The sequence below is a fragment of the Homo sapiens genome, chromosome 3 (genome assembly GCF_000001405.40).
Source record: "Homo sapiens chromosome 3, GRCh38.p14 Primary Assembly".
NCBI lineage: Eukaryota > Metazoa > Chordata > Mammalia > Primates > Hominidae > Homo > Homo sapiens.
In genome coordinates, this window is record NC_000003.12 from 184015342 (window position 1) to 184041041 (window position 25700).

The 25700-nt window shown below is 44.8% G+C and overlaps 2 protein-coding genes and 1 pseudogene across 15 annotated transcripts in view, besides 3 other annotated features; 1 reads left to right on the forward strand and 2 right to left on the reverse strand.

The window, feature by feature from the left end:
* Window positions 1-2543, reverse strand: part of ABCC5 (ATP binding cassette subfamily C member 5) — a 97951-nt gene extending 95408 nt beyond the window's left edge. For 6 of the 11 annotated variants that reach the window (NR_135125.2, NM_005688.4, NM_001320032.2 and 3 more), the window contains exon 1: window positions 2489-2543. The gene's annotated coding sequence lies outside the window, so the exon portion shown is untranslated. Of the gene's footprint in view, window positions 1-217; window positions 1624-1708 lie in introns of those variants that run through there. The other 5 variants (XM_005247059.6, XM_047447100.1, XM_047447098.1 and 2 more) reach the window with 4 other exon arrangements.
* Window positions 2111-2280: a silencer, noted in NCBI's record as "silent region_14953". NCBI's record gives its function as "represses an Ori minimal core promoter by ATAC-STARR-seq in GM12878 lymphoblastoid cells {active_cell/tissue: GM12878}" and the evidence as "EXISTENCE:reporter gene assay evidence [ECO:0000049][PMID:35858748]".
* Window positions 2761-2940: an enhancer, noted in NCBI's record as "active region_20900". NCBI's record gives its function as "activates an Ori minimal core promoter by ATAC-STARR-seq in GM12878 lymphoblastoid cells {active_cell/tissue: GM12878}" and the evidence as "EXISTENCE:reporter gene assay evidence [ECO:0000049][PMID:35858748]".
* Window positions 10828-12471, reverse strand: EEF1A1P8 (eukaryotic translation elongation factor 1 alpha 1 pseudogene 8; annotated as a pseudogene).
* Window positions 16203-24028, forward strand: HTR3D (5-hydroxytryptamine receptor 3D). 4 transcript variants are annotated; one of them, NM_001145143.1, is made up of 8 exons: window positions 16401-16466; window positions 19837-19881; window positions 20674-20759; window positions 21034-21203; window positions 21407-21555; window positions 22680-22932; window positions 23068-23283; window positions 23405-24028. In NM_001145143.1, the coding sequence occupies exons 1-8, from the start codon at window positions 16401-16403 to the stop codon at window positions 23632-23634; spliced, it is 1215 nt and encodes a 404-aa protein (NP_001138615.1). In that variant the 3' UTR covers window positions 23635-24028. The 4 variants fall into 4 exon arrangements, with proteins under 4 accessions (NP_872343.2, NP_001397780.1, NP_001138615.1 ...); NM_001163646.2 differs by lacking the exon at window positions 16401-16466 and adding an exon at window positions 17490-17716 and having other exon boundaries at window positions 19825-19854; window positions 20637-20759; window positions 21034-21164; window positions 22680-22898; window positions 23028-23283; NM_182537.3 differs by lacking the exons at window positions 16401-16466; window positions 20674-20759; window positions 21407-21555 and adding an exon at window positions 16203-16230 and having other exon boundaries at window positions 19716-19881; window positions 21028-21199.
* Window positions 23286-23786: an enhancer, noted in NCBI's record as "H3K4me1 hESC enhancer chr3:183756415-183756915 (GRCh37/hg19 assembly coordinates)". NCBI's record gives its function as "activates a minimal SCP1, AML or CMV promoter by ChIP-STARR-seq in primed H9 embryonic stem cells {active_cell/tissue: H9 hESC(primed)}" and the evidence as "EXISTENCE:reporter gene assay evidence [ECO:0000049][PMID:30033119]".

The following is a 25700-nucleotide window of genomic DNA, read 5'->3' on the forward strand; positions in this document are numbered from 1 at the left end:
CCCCCCTCTAAGAAGGGTCACAGCCTCCCAGAGACAAGCTGAGAAAACACCTTTCATACTAGCCTCCAACGGAAATTAAAGACGTGTAGCCGTGTCGCCTTCTGGATTCCATAAATCCCTGGCTATCGCTGTGACTTAAAACTACTACTTCTGCAGCACAAAATTCTAACCATTATAATGCAATTTTTAAAGTGTCAGATAAAAAGAGAACACTTACTAATCCTCTGAATAAAAAGGACTAAATCTCCTATGCAAAGACAGGTTTCCAGTCCAAAGAAAGCTTGATTTCTTGCCTTTCAGAATTCTGGTTCAAGTACCCTAAGTTGATATAGCTGTTACTTATCTTTAAAAAAAAAAAAAAAGTCACCTTGTCCAATGACAAACTACACCATAAAGAACAGCGGCTCACCAAGCCAGAGTGCAGCAATCACGTCATTGAGACCTCATTAAGGCTAAACTATAAACAGACCTGGCATCTGCCAGTGTCCCCAGTGTTGAGCTGTAGCTGTAGATCAGAGTAACCTTCTTACGGGAATCACGAAATTCTAACCTTCCCCTTCAAGGGTTCCCTAGCTTAGCTGATTATCTGGAAGAGGAAAAGATTAGTACTACCTTTTTAAAAGGTGGGGGTTGGGGCGGTGAGCAGTTTGAAACAGAGGAGGTCACTGGAACTCATCCACAATATGAAATGCCACATCAAGAAGAACACGAACATAATCTTAATTATCTAAGCACCCATGATAACCAAAGATTCTTTCAACCACTTTTATTTCAAAGGATGAAGTAGAATCAGTGGAGCACAGGAGCAGAGAGAGGCAGGGACAAAACGACTTCCCTGTTATGACACAAATAATGACTGTTTTGTGCCTACAGTGACTGCTGTGGTAGACACTGCTAAACTATCCTAAGGGACTAAGTTATTCTATGTATGAAGGGTGTGGGGAACAGTGTTCCATTATCTCTAACACACTCATCTCTACTTTCCTGGAAAAAGAGGCACAATCAGGAGAGCAGGCAGGCCCAAAGTAGGCACAAAGTTACTGTCTGTGGCCTTGAACATAAGGACACCATCGTCTGTGTATCTGGAACATAAAAGAGGGCACCCCACGTGGAGGCCGGCGAAGAGCTGGGAATCCTGACAGGTTTGGAAAGAAACAAAGCCCCAGTCTGAAGCAAGCAAGCAAGCAAGGATGGATCCCCAGGCCAGCCATTTTACTGATACTATTTATATTTCCCTATCTTCTCGTGTCCTCCTTTAAAGTTGTTGGAATATCTTTTTTAAATGCTCACTTGCCTCAGCTATCAAGAGAGGAAGAAAGAGAAGGGATTTTTGTTTGTAAAAAACAAACCTGTTGTCCAGACATGTACAAGGGTAGAAGCAGAATAATCAACGTGGGAGAACCCCAAAGAAGTGCCCAATAGGGTTGAGGCCACTTAGTCAGCTGCCCTTTTTTACCAAGATTCTCTTTCCACTGATAAAAGTGTAGACACTCTCCCTGCACAATGATACTGATTCAACTGCATGGCAGGAGGAGAGTTGCACGGGATTACCAGACTGGTGTGTGCAAGCTGCAGTCATCCCAACACTCATGAGTAGGTTTCCATCACCTCCAGGCCCTCAAGCTGCACGAGGAAGACACCACGCTAAAGGGATACGTATTTACCACACCCACTGTAATCCACTTGTTGCGTCTCCAAGCAGCCTCACCTTTCATACACGCTGCGGACCACAGTAAAACCTAGCCATCTCCTCCTCCAAGACCTCCTGAAACTTTCCCCGTCGTTCCTGTGCCCACCTGCCTCCAGCCTCTCCGTCTGTGCAGAAACCAAATGGCCCCTGTGTGATAAACACAAAGCCACCCGCGGCTCTGTGTGGCAGAAGCGAAAAGAGCACTGGATGACCGTGGAGAGATCTGGGCTGCGTTCCCGGCACAGCCACGGCTTTGCTGCGCGTGCTTATGTCACGTACCTCCATTTACCCGCTTGCAAAAACGAAGGGGATGACTTACTTCGAAGGTCGCTGGCGGCTCCGCTGCGGGTTGAGCAGGGTGCCCCGAGCCACCCGCTGCACAGCCTCCCAGGTGGGCGTTTCTCTCAGACCCGCTTCGCCTGGGATGCCCGGGCCCTAGGGCGTTCCCACAGCCCGCTCCGGCCTGCCCAGGCGAGCGCGACCCACACCCACGGCCCGCGGGCGCAGCGCCCCCTGGCGGCCGCGGCCAGGGACGTAGCCCGCGTCCCTGCCCGCTCATCCCGATCCTACCTGCCTGTCTTCCAGCACACGACCCCGTCACCAGACCCCGGGCTCACAGGCCTAGGAGGCGGCGGCAGGAGACCAGGGGGAGGCCATACGCCGTTCCCCAAGTCTCCAGTGTCCCCCGAACTGCTCGCAGCCCTGGCCACATCCCGCCACGCCCCGAGGAAATGCAAAGGGGTGATCCCCGTGACAACCGAGCTGGAGGGCAGGGGTGCGGCAGCAGCCATCACCTACCTGCGCCCCTGCTCCAGGACAACCGCGCCAGCCGCTCAACCACGCTCCCGAGCATGAGCCCTGCAGCAAAACAAGCCTTTATAGCGGCATCGGCCGCCACACCGCGCAAGCGCGCTGCACAAAGCATTCCCAAGGCTGAAGGGAACTGTAGTCCTCCTTCCGAGTGCCCAGGGCTGCGGACGCGGCGAAGGACTACATTTCCCAGAAGCGCCGGTGACATCCCGGGGGCGGTGCGGGCTGCCCCTCTTCCCACCGAGCTCCCGGCTCTGTTCCATCCTTCCCCGTGCCTCTGCGAGACTGTCTGGAATCTTCTCAGGGGTCGTGTTCCCTGGGGGAGGCAGCCGGGAGGCTTAACCGTGGCCCTGTGTTCGCACACAGTGCTGTTCGTAGGCAGAGCAGTCCCACCCTGCGTGGCCGTGTAGCTGCCAGAAAAGATCGTGAAGGTCATCGTAGCCCGCGTCTAACCCGTTGAGAGTCGTCAGGCCGGCCAGCCCCAGTTCTTATCTGTTGTGGCAGATACGATTGCTTGCTCATGGTTCGACCCTGCAGTCTGCGCAGATACCGCCTTTCTCACTTTAACACCAACTGCCCATCAATGTCTCGCTGCCTGGTCTCTAGATAATAAAATGCCAGGATCACAGTCTTAGAAGTGGCAAGAGCCTTAGAAATGTTATGCTAACTCATCTTCTTCTTTTTATAAATGAAACTGAAGCTCCCAGAAAGATTGATCCCTTTATTTCTCTGTTTCATCGGTACCTTCAGCATCATTAAATAAAAGCCACTGTTGAGTTCTTCCCTACCTTGTATCCGATGCTTTACATACCATTCTTGTTTCCTTTAATCTCCATTACAGCCCTATGAGTAGGTATTATGAGTTTTTTTTTTTTTTTAAGGAGTCTGGCTCTGTTGCCCAGGCTGGAGTGCAATGGCGCGATCTCGGCTCACTGCAGCGTCCGCCTTCCGGGTTCAAGCAGTTCTCCTTGCCTCAGCCTCCCGAGTAGCTGGGATTACAGGCGTCCGCCACCACGCCCGGCTAATTTTCGTATTTTTTAAGTAGAGACAGGGTTTCGCCATATTGGCCAGGCTGGTCTCGAACTCCCGACCTCAGGTAATCCGCCCGCCTCGGCTTCCCAAAGTGCTGGGATTACAGGCGCGAGCCACCTCACCCCGCCGTATTTTTTTTTAATTCAAAGATTAAAAAAGAAGAAGAAGAAGAGGAAGAGGAAGAAGGAGAAGGTAAAGTGACTTGTCCATCTTTATAACAGCTAGCTAGTTAGCTAGTGTGAAGACACTACTGTATCGTAAAGCAGCATATTCTTGCGCACGGATTGATAGACCAATGCAATAGAATAAAGAGCCCCCAAACAGACTGGTGCATCCATGTAACTTGATCTGTGACAGAAAACCTTACGAATCCGTGGGGAAAGCAAGAAGAGTCAGTAAATAGTACTGGAACAATTGGTTATACATATGAAAAAACAATCAGGGATTACCGCTTCATACCACACAGAAAAAACCCATTTCAGGTAGATCAAACGCTTAAATGTGAAAGGGAAAACTTAAAAACTTTTAGAAGAAGATAGGAAATATCTTTATGAACTTGGGAGTAGGAAAGAACTTTTTAAACAAGAAACAAAGAATAAAGGAAGAAAGATTGATAATTTTTGCCATATTAAAAGATGGCATAAATTGAAAAGATAAACCACAAGTTATAACTGACAAAGTTTTTGAATAATAAATATTCAAAATAATTTCTAAGTTCAGTAAGAAACGGCAGATAACCCAATAGGAAAATAGGTAAATGACATGAACAGACAGCTCACAGAATAGGAAACTTGAGCAGCCACTCAAATATGAAAAGACACCCAATCTCATTCATAATCAGGGAAATTGATTTTTTTTTTTTTTTTTTTGAGACAGAGTCTTTCTCTGTCCCTCAGGTTGGAGTGCAGTGGTGCCACCTCAGCTCACTGCAACCTCCACCTCCAGAGTTCAAGTAATTCTCCTGCCTCAGCCTCTGGAGTAGCTGGGACTACAGACACCGGCCACCGCACCCAGCTGATTTTTGTATTTTTCGTAGAGATGGGGTTTCACCATATTGGCCAGGCTGGTCTTGAGCTCCTGACCTTGTGATCCATCCACCTAGGCCCCCCAAAGTGCTGGGATTACAGGCGTGAGCCAACACGCCTGGCCTGGAAATGTAAATTAAAATAGTAATGAGATACCACCTCACCAAAGATTCTAGTACCTTCCAACAATGCCTCAAACACTGTAACACCCAAAACTGCAGATCTGATATCATCATATTTTTTAAAAAGCTTCTAAATCCCGCTGAAATACTTCATATATGTTGATTATAGTTTGTTTTTTATTAAAAAAGAATAGATGAACACCAGACAGCCTTGGTGGCAGGCTTCAATACACTGTAGTACTGTCTTGGTCTGTCCAAGTATAGTCTGAGTGAAAGAATTATACTTACAAAATTACCCCCTCAAAATGTGTTTGTGTTGTGAACTGTTTAGAGGGGCGATACTTCCCAACCCTCAGGCAAGGGGGCTAGAGAATCTATGTTGCAGTGTAGAATTGTGTGTCTTTTCTTTTCTTTCTTTTCTTTTTTTTAGATCTCGGCTCACTGTAACCTCCACCTCCAGGGTTCAAGTGATTCTGATTCTCCTGCCTTAGCCTCCAGAGCAGCTGGGATCACAGGCATGTCCCACCACACCTGGCTAATTTTTGTATTTTTAGTAAAGACGGGGTTTCACCATATTGTCCAGGCTGGTCTCGAACTCCTGAGCTCAAGTGATCGGCCCACCTCAGCCTCCCAAAGTGCTGGGATTACAGGAGTGAGCTACCGCGCCCGGCCAGAATTGTGGGTATTTCTAAATAATATTTATGTTGTGTAATGTACTAAACATATTCATTAAATATTTGGTAGAGATGCAGTGGAGCTAAAACAAACACGGTTCCAGCCCTCATGGGGCTTAGACTCCCAAATAAACACTAACCAGTATTTAAATGATAATTGTAGTAAGTGCAAGGAAAGGAGGTGTGTGTTTCATCTGAAGGAAGTAGGAGTGTGTGAAGTGAAGACAGTGGAAGTGGGCAGCAGAGACAGCAGTTGAAGCAGAGGAAACAATGAAGACCAGGTTGTGGTAGAATGAAGGGAGTATCTCCAAACATGTAGATCTTGTTACAGGTGTTTAGGAGCAAAAGGCAACCACTAAAAAGTTTTAAAAGGGTGAATATGTTAGGAGTTGAGAAATTAAATTTACATTTTGGGGCCGGGCGTGGTAACTCACAGCTTGTAATCCCAGCACTTTGGGAGGCTGAGGTGGGTGGATCACCTGAGGTCAGGAGTTCGAGAACAACCTGGCCAACATGGTGAAACCGCATCTCTACTAAAAATACAAACATTAGCTGGGCATGGTGGCACACACCTGTCATCCCAGCTGCTCGGGAGGCTGAGGCACGAGAATCCCTTGAACCCAGGAGGCAGAGGTTGCAGTGAACCGAGATCTGGCCACTGCACTCCAGCCTGGGTGATAAAGCAAGACTCAGTCTCAAAAAACAAACAAAAAAACAGAAAAAAAAATGTATCTTTTGGAAACTGCACTGTGGCTGGCAGACTGGGAAAGAATTTGAGACCACTAGAATGGGAGAGAAGGGGCCACCTAGGAGTGACTGTTGTTGTGTAGGAAAGAGATCATGGTGGCTTGGATTAAGGTTGTGATGGAAAAGATGGAGAGAAAAAGATGAACTCAAGAGAAATTTAAGAGGTGATATCAACAGAACATGTGGATAGATTAGATACAGGGCAATGAGAAAGAAATGTCAAGGGTAACATGTAGGTGGTTGTGGAACTGGATAGATGGTGGTCCATTCATTGGCAGAAGTGCTCTACTGCAATAGCCTGACACCGTCCTCTACCTAGCTTGTCTAGAACTAATGTCACATGCTAACAGTCACCCCATATCTGCTATGGTACTCACGTTGAATTCTTCTAACAGTTATCAAGACAGAAGCTCCCTTTGTAGTTCAATTTTTCAATGAAAGGCATTTTCATGGAATAAGACCTTTTTTAAAGTTAGTTAATAAATCAAGTTTTATATTTGTTTTTTGTTTTGTTTGTTTGTTTGTTTTTTGAGACATTGTTTCATTCTTGTTACCCAGGCTGGAGTGCAATGGCGCAGTCTCGGCTCACTGCAACCTCCGCCTCCCGGGTTCAAATGATTCTCCTGCCTCAGCCTCCCAAGTAGCTGGGATTACAGGCACCCACCACCATGCCCGGCTAATTTTTGTAGTTTTAGTAGAGACAGGGTTTCACCATGTTGGTCAGTCTGGTCTCAAACTCCTAACCTCAGGTGATCCGCCCTCCTCGGCCTCCCAAAGTGCTGGGATTTACAGGCGTGAACCACTGTGCCCAACCTAAGTTTTATATTTGACATCATGGAAACCATGTAGTGTGAAAGAATAATGCACTCTTTAATGGCCTCAGGCAAATTAGAAGACAAGAGAATTTAAGTTTTAAATAATGCCAGATGAAAGCCAGATGACATGACAGCATGTTATACAGCCAAAGGGTTCACATATTTTCATAGAGAAGCCAAGTCTTCCTAAAGTACACAGAAGTATAGGCATGTTATGAGCAGTCATATTGCACATTCATCATTATAAAGGAAAGCATTGCACATTTCCTTTGTGGTAACAACTTCCCTTGTTATTTCATTGTTACGTTACTTCATTAGTATGAAGTAGTTAGTATGAAGCGTTGCTTTTTAAATTTTTTTTTTCTTTTGAGACGGAGTTTCGCTCTGGAGTGCAATGGGGTAATCTTGGCTCACTACAACCTCCACCTCCCAGGTTCAAGCGATTCGCCTGCCTCGGTCTCCCTAGTAGCTGGGATTACAGGCGGATGCCACGACGCCCAGCTAATTTTTGTATTTTTAGTAGAGATGGTGTTTCACCATGTTGGTCAGGCTGGTTTCGAACTCCTGACCTCAGGTGATCTGCCTGCTCGGCCTCCCAAAGTGCTAGGATTACAGGCGTGAGCCACCATGCCTGGCCTGCTTTAAAAATTTTTTAAAGTACTCTTACATTGAGATGCACTATCAGATTCATTGGCCCAACAATAACAGATAGCTGTTCAAAAACTAGCTCCTTGTTAAAAACAGGAAAGAAATTGACAGCAATTATCTAATTTTAGCAAAACAATATTTGTAAATTAATTTCAACTTTATAGTGCTATAAGAACTATAAGCATAATGACTTTGCACACAGCTTTATGAACGGATTTATTTAAGTAATATTCTCATGTAAATAAGAAGTCAACATCAGGGGTTTGAGAGAATTGTTTCTCTTAAAAGGGGTCTGAGCCTTATTTGAGTTAGGGAAACACTGGGCTATAAAATAAAAGCAAACCTTGGCTGGGTATGCAAGGTCTTCCGTGATCTGGCCCTCAAAATACCACTGCCTCATCTCCTGTCACTCTCCTAGTCAAACCTGAGGTCCTGCCAACATTGTATTTTCCATGTTGTTATTCTAGCTGTTCCCTCTCTCCAGAACACCCTTCTAAATCTACTCAGCTAAAATAATAATCACAGCCCATAGGCAGGTCTTGGGATTTTAATCCTCCCAGAATGACAATTACTTACTTATTCAACGGAATAAAATGGTACAATATGTCTAACATCTCATGATGAGATGTATATGGAGAATTCTCCCACATTTTATTGTGAAGAATGGACTGAGCACCCACTACCTGAGAATCAACAGGATCCCTCTAAGCCAGAGAAGCAGGACCAATAGTCCAGAAAAAACAGAGCCTTCTCCAAAAAACAGGACTTGTCAGACAGAATGGTCAATCCCAGTCATTCCCCAATACTTCTCTTAAGCGTTTTGCTTGATAAATATGGACTTTTGACCAGAAGAAGAGAGAAACAACTCTGGTGTAAAGGTTGTTATCACTAGTAATCCCTCCCTCCTTCCCTCTCTCCCTCTCTTTCTGTCTTTCTCTCTTTCTTTCTTGAGGCAATCTCACCCTATCACCTAGGCTGAAGTACAGTGACATGATCTCGGCTCACTGCAACCTCTGCCTCCTGTGTTCAAGTGATTCTCCTGCCTCAGCCTCTGGAGTAGCTGGGATTACATGCATGCACCACCACGCCTGGCTAATTTTTGTATTTTTAGTAGAGACAGGGGTTTTGCCATATTGGCCAAGCTGGTCTCGAACTCCTGAACTCAAGTGATCCGCCCACTTCGGCCTCCCAAAGTGCTGGGATTATAGGCGAGAGCCACCGCACCTGGCAGGCTGCAGTTTCTTTCAATCAAAACAATTCAATTGTTGAGACCCTGAGGAAAAAATGTGTATTCTTAAAACAGAAATTGTGTACTTTATTGATTATAGGAGACCACCAGTGAGAAAAAATCAGCATTGCTTTTCAGCAACTAAAGTTGCCGTATAGGTGTATTTGATAAGTCGTGATACCAAAGCATCTTTTTAAACTTTCATCCTAATATTAGGTCTAGGTAGATGGCATGTGGCCCGCAGCTGTCAGGTCATTGATCTAAAGGAAAAGGGAAGAAAAGATTCCTCCTTGAGTCAGTCTAAGTTTAAATTGCTCAAGGATTCAGGGATTAAAATTTATGTCTGTTTTACTTTCTACTTGCTTGCAGCTTATAGTTTTCAACAATCTTTAGGTTTTAAAATACTTATCAGGTTTTTAAAAATTTCTTCATTTATTTGTATATATGCTATTTGCATTTTATATTCTATATGTAGCATATTTGAGATAATTTTTTCAAGTTTTTTTCTAGATTCCTATTTACTTAAAACAGTATTTCCACAAAATAACCCATGAAATACTAGCCCTGCAAGATATTCTGAAAAAAAGGGAGAATTTCCAAAATCAAAAAGGTTTGGAAAATTGTGTATATCATAGTCAAAATTTACTTTAATATATTAGCTAGGCCAAGTGCAGTGGCTCATGCCTGTAATTTCAGCATTTTGGGAGGCTGAGGCAGGAGGATTTCTAGGAGCCCAGGAGTTTAAGACCAGCCTGGGCAACATAGTGAGACTCCATCTCTAAATACATATATATATCATATATACATATAATAAATATATATCATATATAATATATATTATAATTAAATTATATATAATATATATTTTAAATATATATTATATATTAAATTATATATAATATATATTTTAATATATATTATATATTAAATTATATATAATATATATTTTAATATATATTATATATTAAATTATATATAATATATATTTAAAATATATTATATATTAAATTATATATAATATATATTTAAATATATAAATATAAATATATAATATATAAATATATATTTATAATATAAGCTAAATACTCTGGGAAATCCTGCAACAATGAAAGCTGGTTAGTCTTGTTTAGTTCAGCATTTCTCAGACTTATTTGAACATTTTATCAGTCCATTTTCATACTGCTATGAAGAAATACCTGAGACTGGGTAACTTATAAAGAAAAAAGAGGTTTAATGGACTCAGTTCCACATGGCTGGGGAGGCCTTACAATCATGGTGGAAGGCAAAGGAAGGACAAAGGCACGTCTTACATGGCAGCAGGCAAGAGAACGTGTGCAGGGGAACTGCCCTTTTTTAAGCCATCAGATCTCGTGAGACTTATTCACTATCAGGAGAACAGCACGGGAAAAACCCGCCCCCATGATTCAATTACCTCCCACCAGGTCCCTCCCATGACATGTGGGGATTATGGGAGCTACAATTCAAGATGAGATTTGGATGGGGACACAGCCAAACCATATCAAACATGAAATAACAAAAATAATATTTTAGAAACAGCATTTAACACCCTCTGGAATTAGTGTTTTACAGAAAATGCTTTGACAAATGCTTATCTAAAGTCACTTTTTAGGCTGGGTGCGGTGGCTCACTCCTGTAATCCCAGCACTTTGGAGGCTGAGGTGGGTGGATCACCTGAGGTCAGGAGTTCAAGACCAGCCTGACCAACATGGTGAAACCCCGTTGCTACTAAAAATACAAAAAATGAGCCAGGTGTGGTGGTGGGTGCCTGTAATCCCAGCTACTCGGGAGGCTGAGACAGACTTGAAACCAACTGGGAGGTGGAGGTTGCAGTGAGCCGAGATTGCGCCATTGCAATCCAGCCTGGGCAACGAGCAAAACTCCATCTCAAAAAATAAAATAAAATAGTCACTTTTTTTTTCTCATTAAACTTTGTTTTAATGGGTCTCAAAATTCTGTGACAGATTTTTGGTCAAGTATTTCCATTAAAAAGTACTAATTTTTAAAACTAATAATTTAAAACTGCCACACACACAAAAATAATACCAAAGTGGTCCACAAAACATTCTTCTTTCCTTCTGAAGATTTTACGATGCATTATTATCATTAACCAGTCTTTTACTATTAAACTTAAATGGCCAGTCGAAACGAACAGTTCTGAGACTGTTCTTCCACCACTGATTAAGAAGACCAGGGAGGCAGGTATTACGGATAACATTCATTTAGCCTTCTGAGCTTTCTGGGCAGGCTTGGTGACCTTGCCAGCTTCCGCAGCCTTTTTGTCCACTGCTTTGATGACACCCACGACAACTGTCTGTCTCAGATCATGAACAGCAAAGCGACCCACAGGTGGATAGTCTGAGAAGCTCTCAACACACAAGGGCTTGCCAGGAACCGTATCAACAATGGCAGCATCACCAGACTTCAAGAATTTAGGGCCATCTTCCAGTTTCTTACCAGAACAGCGATCAATTTTTTCCTTCTGCACAGGAAACTTGCATGCAATGTGAGCCATGTGGCAATTCAGTACAGGGGCATAGCCAGCGCTGATTTGGCCTGAATGGTTCCGGATAGTCACCTGAGCAGTCAAGCCAGCTGCTTCCATTGGTGGTTCGTTTTTGCTGTCACCAGCAACATTGTCATGACGAACATCCTTGACAAACACATTCTTGACACTGAAGCCCACATTGTCCCCAGGAAGAGCTTCACTCAAAGCTTCATGGTGCGTTTTGACAGACTTTACTTCAGTTGTAACGTTGACTGGAGCAAAGGTGACCACCATACCAGGTTTGAGAATGCCAGTCTCCACTCAGCCAATAGGAACAGTACCAATACCACCAATTTTGTAGACATCCTGGAGGAACAGGCACAAGGGCTTGTCAGTTGGACCAGTTGGTGGTAGGACGCAGTCCAGAGCCTCAAGCAGTGTGGTTCCACTGGCATTGCCATTGTTACCGGTGACTTTCCATCCCTTGAACCAAGGCGTGTTAGCACTTGGCTCCAGCATGTTGTCATCATTCCAACCAGAAATTGGCACAAATGCTACTGTGTCGGGGTTGTAGCCAATTTTCTTAATGTAGTGCTGACTTCCTTAACGATTTCCTTGTATCTCTTCTGGCTATAGGGTGGCTCAGTGTAACCATTTTGTTAACACCAACAATTGGTTGTTTCACACCCAGTGTGTAAGCCAGAAGGGCATGCTCTCGGGTCTGCCCATTCTTGGAGATACCAGCTTCAAATTCGCCAACACCAGCAGCAACAATCAGGACAGCACGGTCAGCCTGAGATGTCCCTGTAATCATGTTTTTGATGACGTCTCTGTGTCCTGGGGCATCAATGATAGTCACGTAGTACTTGCTAGTCTCAAATTTCCACAAAAGAGATACCAATGATGATACCACGTTCATGCTCAGCTTTCAGTTTATCCAAGACCGAGGCATACTTGAAGGAGGCCTTTCCCATCTCAGCAGCCTCATTCTTAAATTTTTCAATGGTTCTTTTGTCAATGACGCCGCATTTGTAGATCAGATGGCCAGTAGTGGTGGACTTGCCTGAATCTACATGTCCAGTGACAATAATGTTGATATGCGTCTTTTCCTTTCCCATTTGGCTTGGGAGTTTTCATGACACCTGTGTTCTAGCGGCAAACCTGTTGCGAAAAACAGTACTGTCACTTTTTAAAAAAAAGAAAAAAAAAACAACAACAAACTTTCCAAAGGGGCAGAGATTCTCCAGTGATAAAGAGTGATGCTGAGGACAGCAGAAGGGTGAATCCTATCAGTATCCAGCTGAGTGAGGCTAAGAGAAAAGGGCCTTATGCTTACAGGAACTGGGGTTGCTGCAGTGAACCCAGACATTTTAAGTTCAGAATATTCCATTTAGGCTGAAGCAACCTGGGCGATCTTAGGCTGGACAGGATAACCGTTACTGCCATTTTTACTGTTATTTCTGCTTCAATTTACTGCTATTAATTGCTTAAGATGGGCAAGGCACTATACATATATTATCTCAAACCACATAAGACTCCTGCAAGATAGATTTTACCCTCCCAATTTTAGAGATAAGGAAACTGAGGCTGAGAGGGTGACGTGATTCTTGTAGAAAGAATTTGGTCTTAGACATTTCTTAATACATTGTGCTACCTCAATCTGTAAACCTTCATTGAGGCGACTGCTCTCTCTTTGCTCTGTAAGCCACTTATTACTTTCCCTAAAGCCTTCCCTGCCAGAAATAATTCTAGAATAAAACAGGTTAAACCACTGATGACCTTGGCCCAATTAATCTTATCATGTCTGGCTTCCATCATGAACCAATTAATTACATACATTAATCTGATAAGACCTATGATTACCTACACATGGAATGGTATTTTGAAATTACTTCCCAAGGCTATTTAAGAATCACTATTATAAAGACACATGCATGCATGTGTTCACCACAGCACTATTCACAATAGCAAAGACATGAAATTGACCTAAATGCCCATCAATGATAGACTGGATAAAGAAAATGTGGTACACACACCATGGAATACTATGCAGCCATAAAAAGGAATGAGTTCATGTCCTTTGCAGGACCATGGATGGAGCTGGGGGCCATTATCCTTAGCAAACTAACACAGGAACAGAAAACCAAGTACTGCATGTTCTCACTTATAAGTACCAACTAAATGATGAGAACACATGGACACATAGAGGGGAACAACACACACTGAGGCCTATCAGAGGGTGGAGGGTGGGAGGAGGGAGAGGATCAGGAAAAATAACTAATGGGTACTAGGCTTAATACCTGGGTGATGAAATCATCTGTACAACAAACCCCCACGACACAAGTTTACCTATATAACAAATCTGCACATGTACCCCTGAACTTAAAAGTCAAAAAAAGAGGCTGGGCGCGGTGGCTCATGCCTGTAATCCCAACACTTTGGGAGGCCAAGGCGGGTGGATCATGAGGTCAGGAGATCGAGACCATCCTGGCTAACATGGTGAAACCCCATCTCTACTAAAAATACTAAAAATTAGCCATGCGTGGTGGTGGGCGCCTGTAGTCCCAGCTACTTGGGAGGCTGAGGCAGGAGAATGGCGTGAACCCGGGAGGCGGAGCTTGCAGTGAGCAGAGATCTCGCCACTGCACTCCACCCTGGGCGACAGAGCAAGGCTCCATCTCAAAAAAAAAAAAAAGTTAAAAAAAGAATCACAAAAGAAATTCTTAACATTGAAAGCCAAAGTCAAACACCTACAGAGGCCAACCAGGTAACATAAATGAGGAGAGCTGCTCAGGAATAAGACAGGAGGGGTGATGGAGACTGTGGTGATCTAGAGTGAGTATGAACCATCCAAAGGGTTTCACTACTTCTGAGCTTTGGCAGATTGTTGTCAAGCAGAAACGTGAGCCTCATGTTGCTAGATCTTATTTTTCAAATGAAGCCAGAAACAGTTTTTATGTGAAATCTCAATGTTTAAGTGTTACACAACTAACTTTAAAAAAAGAAAAAAAAAACACTAGCAGGGCCAAAAATAACATAAACTTTCAGGCTAATAGCTCATGACCTTTTCTTTAAAATCATAAGTCAGCAGCTGGGCGTGGTGGCTCATGCATGTAATCCCAGCACTTTGGGAGGCCAAGGCAGGCAGATCACCTAAGTTTGGGAGTTTGAGACCAGCCTGACCAACATGGAGAAACCCCATCTCTACTAAAACAAAACACAAAAAATACAAAAAAATTAGCTGGGCGTCAGCCATCCCATTACTGGGTATATACCCAAAGGATTATAAATCATGCTGCTATAAAGACACATGCACATGTATGTTTATTGCAGCATTATTCACAATAGCAAAGACTTGGAACTAACCCAAATGTCCATCAATGATAGACTGGATTAAGAAAATGTGGCACATATATATCATGGAATACTATGCAGCCATAAAAAAGGATGAGTTCATGTCCTTTGTAGGGACATGGATGAAGCTGGAAACCATCATTCTGAGAAAACGAGCGAGGACAGAAAACCAAACACTGCATGTTCCCACTCATAGGTGGGAATTGAACAATGAGAACACTTGGACACAGGGTGGGGAACATTACACACTGGGGCCTGTCATGGGGTGGGGGGAGCGGGGAGGGATAGCAATAGGAGATATACCTAATGTAAATGACGAGTTAATGGGTGCAGCACACCAACATGGCACATGTATACATATGTAACAAACCTGCACGTTGTGCACATGTACCCTAGAACTTAAAGTATAATAAAAAAATGAAAAAAAAATTATCTGGGCTTTGTGGTGCATGCCTGTAATTCCAGCTACTCGGGAGGCTGAGGCAGGATAATCGCTTGAACCCGGGAGGCAGAGGTTGTGGTGGGCCAAGATCGCGCCATTGCACTCCAGCCTGGGCAGCAAGAGAGAAACTCCATTTAAAAAAAAAAATCATAAGTCAGCTTTTATTTTAAAAAAGTATTACCTCTGCCACCACCCCCTACTCCACTAATCACTCCCTTCATTGGGTAGACCTGGGTCCAGATTGCTTTTGAAACACTAAAAAGGCATAGCAAATCAGCTTTGAGAAGAGGAAGCAGAAATATGTCATCACTGGAGCAGTGCTAATGGCTTCCTCATACTTTAAAGTCTTAACTATACTGAAGTCATGTTTAAAACCTCAGTGTATGAAGTTGCTTATATTAATAGGGACCCCCCTCCCCCCAACACGCTTTCTTTTTTGAAAGATGGCAGTAGGGGGCCGGGCATGGTAGCTCACGCTTGTAATTCCAGCACTTTGGGAGCCAAGGTGGGCAGATCACCTGAGGTCAGGAGTTTGAGGCCAGCCAACCAACATGGTAAAACCTCGTCTCTACTAAAAATACAAAAACTTAGCCAGGCATGGTGGCAGGCGCCTGTAATCACAGCTACTTGGGAGGCTGAGGCAGGAGAATCGATTGAACCCGGGAGGCGGAGGTTGCAGTGAGCCAAGACTGCACCATTGCACTCCAGCCTGGGAGACAGAGGGAGACTCCGTCGCAAAAAAAAAAAAGGAAGGGAGGGAGGGAGGGAGAAAGAGAGAGAGAGGGAGGGAGGGAGAGAGAGAGAGAGAGAGAGAGAAGGAAAGAAAGAAAAAAGAAAGAAAAAGAGAAAGAGAAAGAAAGAGAAAGAAAGAAAAAGAAAGAGAAAAGAAAGAAAGAAAGAAGAAAGGAAAAGAAAAGAAAGAAAGATGACAGCAGGGTCTAACAAGTTCACGTGCCACCTGGAGGCAGTGGTAGTCATCCATGCCTTCTCGGTGAGGCACTGTACGCCAGAGTGACTTTAAAGTATGAGGAAGCCATTAGCACTGCTCCAGGGACCACATATTTTTGCTTCCTCTTCTCCAAACTGATTTGCCATATTACTTTTGGAGGCTAGATTCAGGCCCAGTTAAAGCACAGGGTGAGTTATTCCTCTGTGACATTCTTTTGTCACCAAGGGGTCTTGTTAGAGAGGCGGTTAATGCCAGCTGATATATATATTATTCAAAGGTAGGGCTCAAGGTGTGATCTGAGGTTTTTTAAAGGTTAACATCATCATCAAGTACCCAGAGAAGTGCCAAAGAGAGGAAGATGGAAAGAGGCTGGTTCCATGGGAAAGGATTCCTCCTTGGCTTCATCCTCCACCTGCTGCTGCAAGTACCTTAAGATAAGAGCAAGAGCTGAGCAGACATGTAACTCCTGGGAAGCAGAGAAAACAGGCTAATATTTTTTATTCTGAGATAGTCAATGATTGGATGTTCGTTATGGTAAAAATGATGCTCGTGACACTGATGGCTTTGTACCTCTTCCTAGGATCCTAATATTTAGTTAACTCTTTTCTCTTCTTTTTTTTTTTTTTTTTGAGATGGAGTCTCGCTCTGTTACCCAGGCTAGAGTGCAGTGGCAATATCTCAGCCCATTGCAACCTTCACCTCCCAGGTTCAAACGATCTCATGCCTCAGCCTCCCAAGTAGCTGGGATTACAGGCACCTGCCACCGTGCCTGGCTAATTTTTGTATTTTTAGTAGAGATGGGGTTTCACCATGTTGGCCAGGCTGGTCTTGAATGCCTGTCCTCAGGTGATCTGCCCGCGTGGGCCTCCCAAAGTGTTGGGATTACAGGCGTGAGCCCCTGAGCCCAGCCTGGGAACTCTTTAAGATAATCCTAGTGATGAAGACTACTAAATGTTAGAACAATCACAGCACATAGTAAAGACACAGTAAATACTCATCAAATTGAAAAACTGAAATTGATTTGTTTCCTTAAGATCCCATATATCTCACACTACCTATCTGATTACTCCCCTTATCATTAATTTATTAGCATCTATGCCATATTAATACAGCGAGGCGGAGAACTGTGAGTGCAAAATTTGTCACTGACATCACCCACATGGCTCCAGGTTGGAGGTAAGCAAGAGAAGGACACTGGCAGAAGGTGGAGAGGTTGCAGTGAGATTGTTAAGGACATGGCAGGACACTGTAAAGTGGCGGTCGGGGTTGAGTTTGCATACACATCTGGACAGGTTTTGCATGGGGACAAAACAATGGCACTGAGGATGGATCCTTGACTCAGCTCACCTCATCAGTTTCCACCATTTGCCTACCAGCTCAGCCTACTCTTCCTGGACCAGGAAGGAGGAGCTCACATGCTTCTCCCAGTGCCCCCTGTTTTCTCTCCATGCAGAAACACTCTCCAGGCCCCCCAGCCCTGGCCCTCCTCTCTCAGTCTCTGCTCACTACAGGAAATGGCGACACTTTGATTATCAATTGCCCAGGCTTTGGCCAGCACAGGGTGGACCCTGCAGCCTTTCAAGCAGTGTTTGACAGAAAGGCTATTGGTCCAGTCACCAACTACAGTGTCGCCACTCATGTCAACATCTCCTTCACCTTGTCTGCCATCTGGAAGTTGTAAGTCCTCACCCAACATTGCAGTGGTCTAGTGGTGAGCAGTGGACCCTCTGACTGGATTTTTTTTTTTTTTTTTTGAGATGGAGTCTTGCTCTTGTCACCCAGGCTGGAGTGCAGTGGTGCAATCTCAGCTCACTGCAACCTCTGCCTCCCAGTTTCAAGCGATTCTCCTGCCTCAGCCTCCGGCACGTGCTGCCCCACCCAGCTAATTTTTGTATTTTTAGTAGAGACAGGGTTTCACCATGTTGGCCAGGCTGGTCTCAAATTCCTGACCTCAGGTGATCCACCTGCCTTGGTCTCCCAAAGTTCTGGGATTACAGGCATGAGCCACCGTGCCTGGCCCTTTGATTGGATTTTGTAAAATTAGTTACTCACAACAAAAAAATCAAACAACCCAATTCAAAAATGGGCAAAGGACTTGAATAGACATTTCTGCAAAGAAGAAATACAAACAGCCAATAAGCACAAGAAAAGGTGTATGTTCAATGTTACTAATAGTTAAGAAAATGCAGATCAAAGCTACAGTAAGATATCTCACACCCACTAGGATGGCTAGTATTAAAAAACAAACAGAAGCTGGGCGAGGTGGCTCATGCCTGTAATCTCAGCACTTTGGGAGGCTGAGGCGGGTAGATCACGTGAGGTCAGGAGTTCAAGACCAGCCTGACCAACTTGGTGAAACCCCATCTCTACTAAAAATACAAAAATTAGCTGGGCGTGTTGGTGGGCACCTGTAATCCCAGCTAGTCGGGAGGAGGAGACAGGAGAATTGCTTGAACCCAGGAGGCAGAGGTTGCAGACAGCCAAGATTGTGCCACTGCACTCTAGCCTGGGTGACAGAGCAAGACTCTGTCTCAAAAAAACAAAACAAAACAAAATTAAAAAACCAGAAAATAACAAGTGTTGGTGATAATGTGGAGAAATTGGAACCCTTGTGCACTGCTTGTGAGGATGTAAAATTGTGTAGCCACTGTGGAAAAACAGTATGGCTTTTTCTCAAAATATTAAAAATAGAATTACCATACAACCAAATAATTATACTTCTGGATAAATACCCGAAAAAAGTGAAAACGGGGTATTTGTACACTTATGTTCATAGCAGAATTACTCACAATAGTTAAAACTCAGAAGCAGTCTAAGTGTCTATTGACAGATGAATGGACAGATTAAATGTGGTATGTACTTACAATGGAATACTATGCAGCCTTCAAATGGAACAAAATTCTAACACATGCCACAATGTGGATAAGCTGTGAGGCCATTATGCTAAGTGAAATAAGTCAGTCACAAAAAGACAAATAGTGTATTTGTCTAATTTTATAGAGACAGAAAGTAGAATAGCTGTTGCCAGGGGTTGGAGAGAGGGTGAAATAGGGAATTACTGTTTAACGGGTGTAGAGTTTCCATTTTGCAAGAAGAAAAGAGCTCTGGTGATGGAGGGTGGTGGCTGGACAACAGTGTGAATGTGTTTAACGCCACGGAACTGTACACTTAAAATGGTTAAGAGAGTACATTTTATGTTATATATTTTTATCACAATAAAATATTGAAAAAATTATTTTTAGCCTGGGCAACATGGCGAAACCCCATCTCTACCAAAAATACAAAAAGTTAGCTGGGCGTGGTGGTGTGTGCCTCTAATCCCAGCTGCTCGGGAGGCTGAGGCAGGAGGCAGGAGAATCACCTGAACCTGGGAGGCAGAGGTTGCAGTGAGCCGAAATGGCGCCACTGCACTCCAGCCTGGGCGACAGAGCAAGATTCTGTCTCAAAAAAAAGAAAAAATGATTTTTAAAAGTGTTTAAAAAATTAGAGGTGCATTCGGCGGGGGTGAGGAGTAGAAAGGCATGATAAGAAATGCTGTAATGACATTACTGCAGGTAAAATCTGTTCTTTTTGGAATACTTGTCAAAACATATTCCCAATGGACCTTCATACTGTGTTTTTCATTTACATTTTCCATGTACCTTGAATTGTTTTGATCTACATCATTTTTCAGTGGCTTAGATCAAAAATCATTATTGCCACATGGACCAGCCTTGGAAGTGAACAAGGAGAGGGTGGTGGCATGGGACCTGCCTTCCTGGAGTTAATCATCTAGATGAAAGCTGCTATTCCAGGATTCACACCTTCAACTGGTGACATCGTTCCTGTGGCTAAATATGGTATGACAGACTCAGTTTCCCCTTTCCTCTACTCTGGTGCCTCTCTTTTTTCCACTCCTAGGTCCAGCTTTGCAGATTATATTGGTTAAAGCTGAGAATATCCATAAATTAGACAAGTTCAAATAGACCAATAATGAAAATACAAAACTTTCTGATTATTCTGCTGGTTTAGGAGGGCAGAAAATGGGCACAGGGAGAAGGTGGTATACACTAAGGCCATGGGAGTCAATACTTATGTGGCTCCATCCCAGAGAATCCTGAGCCAAGCTCAAGCTCAAGCTCTGTCTTGAGAAAACTGAGGTAAGCAAGTGTTAGTGTGATGGCTGCCACCAGAGAGGTGGCAGGAGAGTGAAGAAATGGGCGAAAAAAGGAAAGGGAAGGTGCAGAAGACAGAGCAAAACTAAAACTAGTTCCTTCCCCCTGTTTCTCTCATGCCATGGTTTCCTACAGACCTAGCACAATCAATTCTTTTTTTTTTTTTTTGAGAGAGTCTCACTCTGTCGCCCAGGCTCAAGGGCAGTGGTGCGATCTCAGCCCACTGCAACCTCCACCTCCTGGGTTCAAGCGATTTTCCTGCCTCCTGCCTCAGCCTCCTGAGTATCTGGGATTACAGGGGCCCACCACCACACCCAGCTAATTTTTGTATTTTTAGTAGAGATGGGGTTTCACCATGTTAGCTAGGCTGGTCCTGAACTCCTGACCTTCAGTGATCCCCCCGCCTCAGCCTTCCAAAGTGCTGGGATTACAGACAGAAGCCACCATGCCCGGCCTTGGCACAATCAATTTGTGCAGTGGAACCCAGATGAATGCGGAGGCATCAAGAAGTCCGGCATGGCAACTGAGAACCTATGGCTTTCAGATGTCTTCATCGAGGAGTCGTGAGTCTCAGGCCAAAAAAGCAGAATGGAAACCACGTCTACAGGGAAGGACACAATGTTACCGATAAGGCCACACAAAGACTCAACTTAGAAAAGAGCAGAGTCTGAATTGAAGAGCTTACAAACCCCCAGAATATGATTATAGGTAGAAGAGAGCAGTCATCTGAGTGGGGCTGGAGCTCGAGAATGGGATGACCTGACAGAGAAAGAAGGCCAAGTCTGATGGGGAAACCCACAGCACCTACCTCCCTGTCCTTCTCCCACACAGCATCAGTGTGGATCAGACACCTGCAGGTCTCATGGCTAGTATGTCAATAGTGAAGGCCACATCAAACACAATAAGCCAATGTGGGTGGTCAGCATCTGCAAACTGGACACCTTCTATTTCCCCTTCCATGGACAGAGGTGAACGCTCTCCTTCAGCCCTTTCACCTACACAGGTAAGTGGGGCTCACTAAAGTAGACTGTTGAGAGGCAGAGAAAGGGCTTTGAGTGAGAAGAGGACAGAAAGCTGGGAACAGTGAGGGAATCTTGCTGAAAAGGGCCTGGAAGCTAAGCAGTGAGGGATCCAACAGTCTGGGCAAGGGACTTGGGCGCATTTGGGGAGGCTGAGTCTTCTGGGCCTGCTTTGCAGTGGAGAACACGAGCCCGGGCATGGAGAAGGATGTCCAGGAGCTTTCAAATACATCACAGAACCTCATTCAGAACAAGGAGGGAGTGGGTACTGCTGGGTATCCAAAAAAGAACAATAAAGGTGACCGTGGCCACTAACCAGTATGAACAAGCCATCTTCCATGTGAGCTCAGGGGCCAAGACAAGGTTTCACCATGTTGGCCAGGCTGGTCTTGAACTCCTGGCTTCAGGTGATCCGCCCGCCTCGGCCTCCCAAAGTGCTGGGATTACGGGCGTGAACCACGAAGCCCGGCCTTTGTCACTCTTTTTTTTTTTTTAAATTTGAGATAGAGTTTTGTTCTTGTCGCTCAGGCTGGAGTGCAATGACGTGATCTCAGCTCACTGCAACTTCCACCTCCTGGGTTCAAGTGATTCTCCTGCTTCAGCCTCCTGAGTAGCTGGGATTACAAGGGCCCGCCACCATGCCCGGCTAATTTTTGTATTTTTAGTAGAGATGGGGTTTCACCACGTTCACCAGGCCGGTCTCAAAGTCCTGAACTCAGGTATCTGCCTGCCTCGGCCTCCCAAAGTTCTGGGATTACAGGTATGAGCCACCGTGCCCAGCCTTTTGTCACTTTTTTCACTGATAAACCTTCAGTACTAAAACAATACCTGGTACTCAGTAAATAGTTACTAAATAAAGCATCCCTTGAGGAAGAAACAAAGGCTCTATGCCAGTGATTCATGGTGAGGGTGAGCCCCGCCTTCCCCAATGGCTGTCAGAACTTTTTGGAAGGCAGGAATTTTTGTTTATTTTTAAAAAGATATGGTAGAAAGAGTTAGGAAACACTGCCTTAGGGATATGATGATTCCAAATCCTGATAACCCCAAAATATCTGATACTGTCTGCTTTCCCTCCCACTGGTCTCAAATGTTCCCCTGCAAAGTCACTAGAGATTAGACCTTGACGAGAAAAGCAATTAGAAATGAAAAGATAAAACACACGCGACACCTAAGTCGGTGGTTCCACAGTCTTGCTAAGAGCACGTCGGTAGGAATAAAAATTTAAGTGGAGAAAGTTGACACCTTGGGCCAAAAGGAATGAGATACATTTCAGAGGTAAGCAGCATGGGAGACTCTAACCTTGTGAGACGCCTTTGGATGAAAAGACCGGATGCTGAAAGGGACGGGAGGTAATATTTCCTTACTAGACAGTTTGGCCTGGGACAAATCCCAGTTCTTACTCTTACCTGTCTTGACAGCCTCCCAGCCTACTTCTCACTTGCCCCTCCTTCTCCTCCCCACCAGGTGGCCATCAGGCGCAGGTGCAGGCCCAGCCCCTACGTGGTAAACTTTCTGGTGCCCAGTGGCATTCTGATTGCCATCGATGCCCTCAGTTTCTACCTGCCACTGGAAAGTGGGAATTGTGCCCCATTCAAGATGACTGTTCTGCTGGGCTACAGCGTCTTCCTGCTCATGATGAATGACTTGCTCCCAGCCACTAGCACTTCATCACATGCTTCACTAGTACGTCCTCATCCATCAAGAGACCAAAAGCGAGGTGTGTGTTGGATGGGGAGAGGGATGGGCAGAACCAGGCGAAGTGAAAAGGGATCCTGGAAAAAGATCCTCTGGGAAAGAAACAAGAAATTCTAGGTGGCGCCTCTGGCCCTCATGCAGACCCCCTTGCCTGCAGGTGTCTACTTCGCCCTGTGCCTGTCCCTGATGGTGGGCAGCCTGCTGGAGACCATCTTCATCACCCACCTGCTGCACGTGGCCACCACCCAGCCCCTACCTCTGCCTCGGTGGCTCCACTCCCTGCTGCTGCACTGCACCGGCCAAGGGAGATGCTGTCCCACTGCGCCCCAGAAGGGAAATAAGGGCCCGGGTCTCACCCCCACCCACCTGCCCGGTGAGGGAAGTCATACTTCCTCTTCCCCCACCTCCACTTCTCTGCTCCTGCCTCCTTCCCTGTCTCCCTCCCTCCACAGGTGACATTTGCAGCCCATGGCTGAGTCTCTGTCTTTCTGTAGGTGTGAAGGAGCCAGAGGTATCAGCAGGGCAGATGCCAGGCCCTGGGGAGGCAGAGCTGACAGGGGGCTCAGAATGGACAAGGGCCCAGCGGGAACACGAGGCCCAGAAGCAGCACTCGGTGGAGCTGTGGGTGCAGTTCAGCCACGCGATGGACGCCCTGCTCTTCCGCCTCTACCTGCTCTTCATGGCCTCCTCCATCATCACCGTCATATGCCTCTGGAACACCTAGGCAGGTGCTCACCTGCAAACTTCAGTCTGGACTTCTTTTTGCCAGAGAACTCCAGAAACCAGTCAGGCTCTCAGTCAGCCTTGTGGCCCTGTCAACCGCCTCATTTTTAACCCAGTCCTCTGTGTAGTTTCAGACCAGACCTGAATAGTCTCCTATGCCCTCCAAAAGTCGGGTCCTTGCTCCTGCATGCCATCAGCCCCACTCAGCCCTCCCATACCTCCCTGGCTCCTCAGGATTCAGGTTCCTAGGGTACGTCCTTGATTAAATCACCCCAATATGCCCCTTTGCAGAAAGTATTGGCTTTTCCCTGAATTCTGTTATGGTAAAAAAAATCTTGGGATTGAGAGTCTTCTTGCAGAAACTTCTCAGCCAAAGTAAAAAGGATTTTCTCTTACGTGTGTGTTTTTTTAAGTCTATCAGACAACATGTGAAATGTAGGGGAAGAGAAAGAAGGGGCCAAAATCTATTAGAAGGAATTATAGAAAAACAGAGATTAACTTCCTAAATCCAGCTACTCTGGACTTAAGCTTCAGAAATTAATGTGCCAAAACTAGGCCTCTCCTGCTTAAAGAGCGCAGCCTTTTGTTACACCCTGACGTATGACTCATTCATCATTAAGTACTTAGAGTGTTAACATAATCCTGCATTACCGTTAAAGTATCTGTGTTGCAATTTGAGTTGATGTACCCTTAATCATGCTAAGAAAAGAACATAAGGCCAAGGGAAGCACATTTGAAAATGACATCTACTTTACTTGAGAGGAACACAAATGCCCCCGTATGAACTGGAAAGTGCCTTTTCCTAACACTTGTCTTATTATTTCGAAGGTCTTTGCCTAGGGAGCACTAGCTGCCTTGCACAAGTTGAGGCTCTACTGTGCCCTTGGACATGAGAGCTAAGGCATTTGTTGGTTCAGAAAGCACCTATTTGAGGGCAACTTAACTACACTCAAACATCATATTTTCTTTTTCGCAACGATTTATTTCCATTTCTTTCATTTATTCTACTACTTTCTATCTGTAGCTCATATTTCCCAAATCATGACCATCTAGGAGTAAAAATAGACTCACAAAATGGTTCACTAAATAATATTTCTCTGGCTTCTCCTCTCCACTGCTCTTTCCCAAACTCCTTCGGCTCCCTCTGGTCACTGTAGATGCCCAAAGGGTGGCAAGGTTGCTAATGTCCACTAGAGGTAGTGCTAGTGCCTGCCAAAGGTTCTACCCCACATTAGCTGCAAGAGTATCTGCTCTCTCAGAGCCATAGCCATGGTCGGGACTGGATCCTGGAGCTACAGAGGCTCCCAGCTGGATGCTGCAACCCCAGGACCAGCTGTCACTCGCTTTTTTCTTTCAGTTCCACTGGGACTCCAGAGGGGCCCATGGGCATCTGGGGTGTTAAATCAGAAATACCCTGCAATACTCTGAATCCCTCCTGTCACTCAGGCCCATGGTCTTCAAACCAAATTGTGTCCCTTCATTCTCTTTTTAGGATGCATTTTGTTTTTGTTTTTGTTTTTCCAAGAAGATCTTTTGCTCCTCAGTTTCCAGAACGCTGCCGGCATTCTTTTCACCATTACCGTCCTCCAGGCATGTCCACAACCTGGGGAATACAGCCCTCACATTCACCTAAGTAAATTGCTGTGTCTGTCATTATTTTGGCAGTTCCTCAACTCACAGATTTCTAAAAGGTGGGCCTTCAGGAAAGACACAGTACTAGTAATAATAACCACCAGTTACTGAGTTATTAATACGCGGCAGGCACTCTAAGTGCGCCGTGTGAATGCTCATAGTAACGCTATGAAGTAGGAACCATAGATTCAAAAACCTTTGGAGCCAAATGTGTTTTGGAGTTCGGAATTTTTCAGATTTTAAAAAGGTCATAAGTGTGCATTTATTTACTATATGTTACTGACGCCCCAACTGGGGTATGGAGCAGCACCCTGTAACCAGCAGATTAATATTTCTGCAATGAAATCTAAGAATATTCACACTAGGTGGAAAAAATAAAACTATGAATAGCTTTGCATCAATTCTGGTCTGTTTTGCCACCAAATATTTGGTGTA

Bases quoted from the DNA above. Each gene is read 5' to 3' on its own strand.
- HTR3D (NM_001163646.2), top strand. From the start codon at position 17,490: ATGCAGAAACACTCTCCAGGCCCCCCAGCCCTGGCCCTCCTCTCTCAG. The intron at 21,556-22,679 runs GTGAGCTCAGGG...CCTCCCCACCAG, and splicing joins ATGAACAAGCCATCTTCCAT to GTGGCCATCAGGCGCAGGTG. The intron at 23,284-23,404 runs GTGAGGGAAGTC...GTCTTTCTGTAG, and splicing joins CACCCCCACCCACCTGCCCG to GTGTGAAGGAGCCAGAGGTA.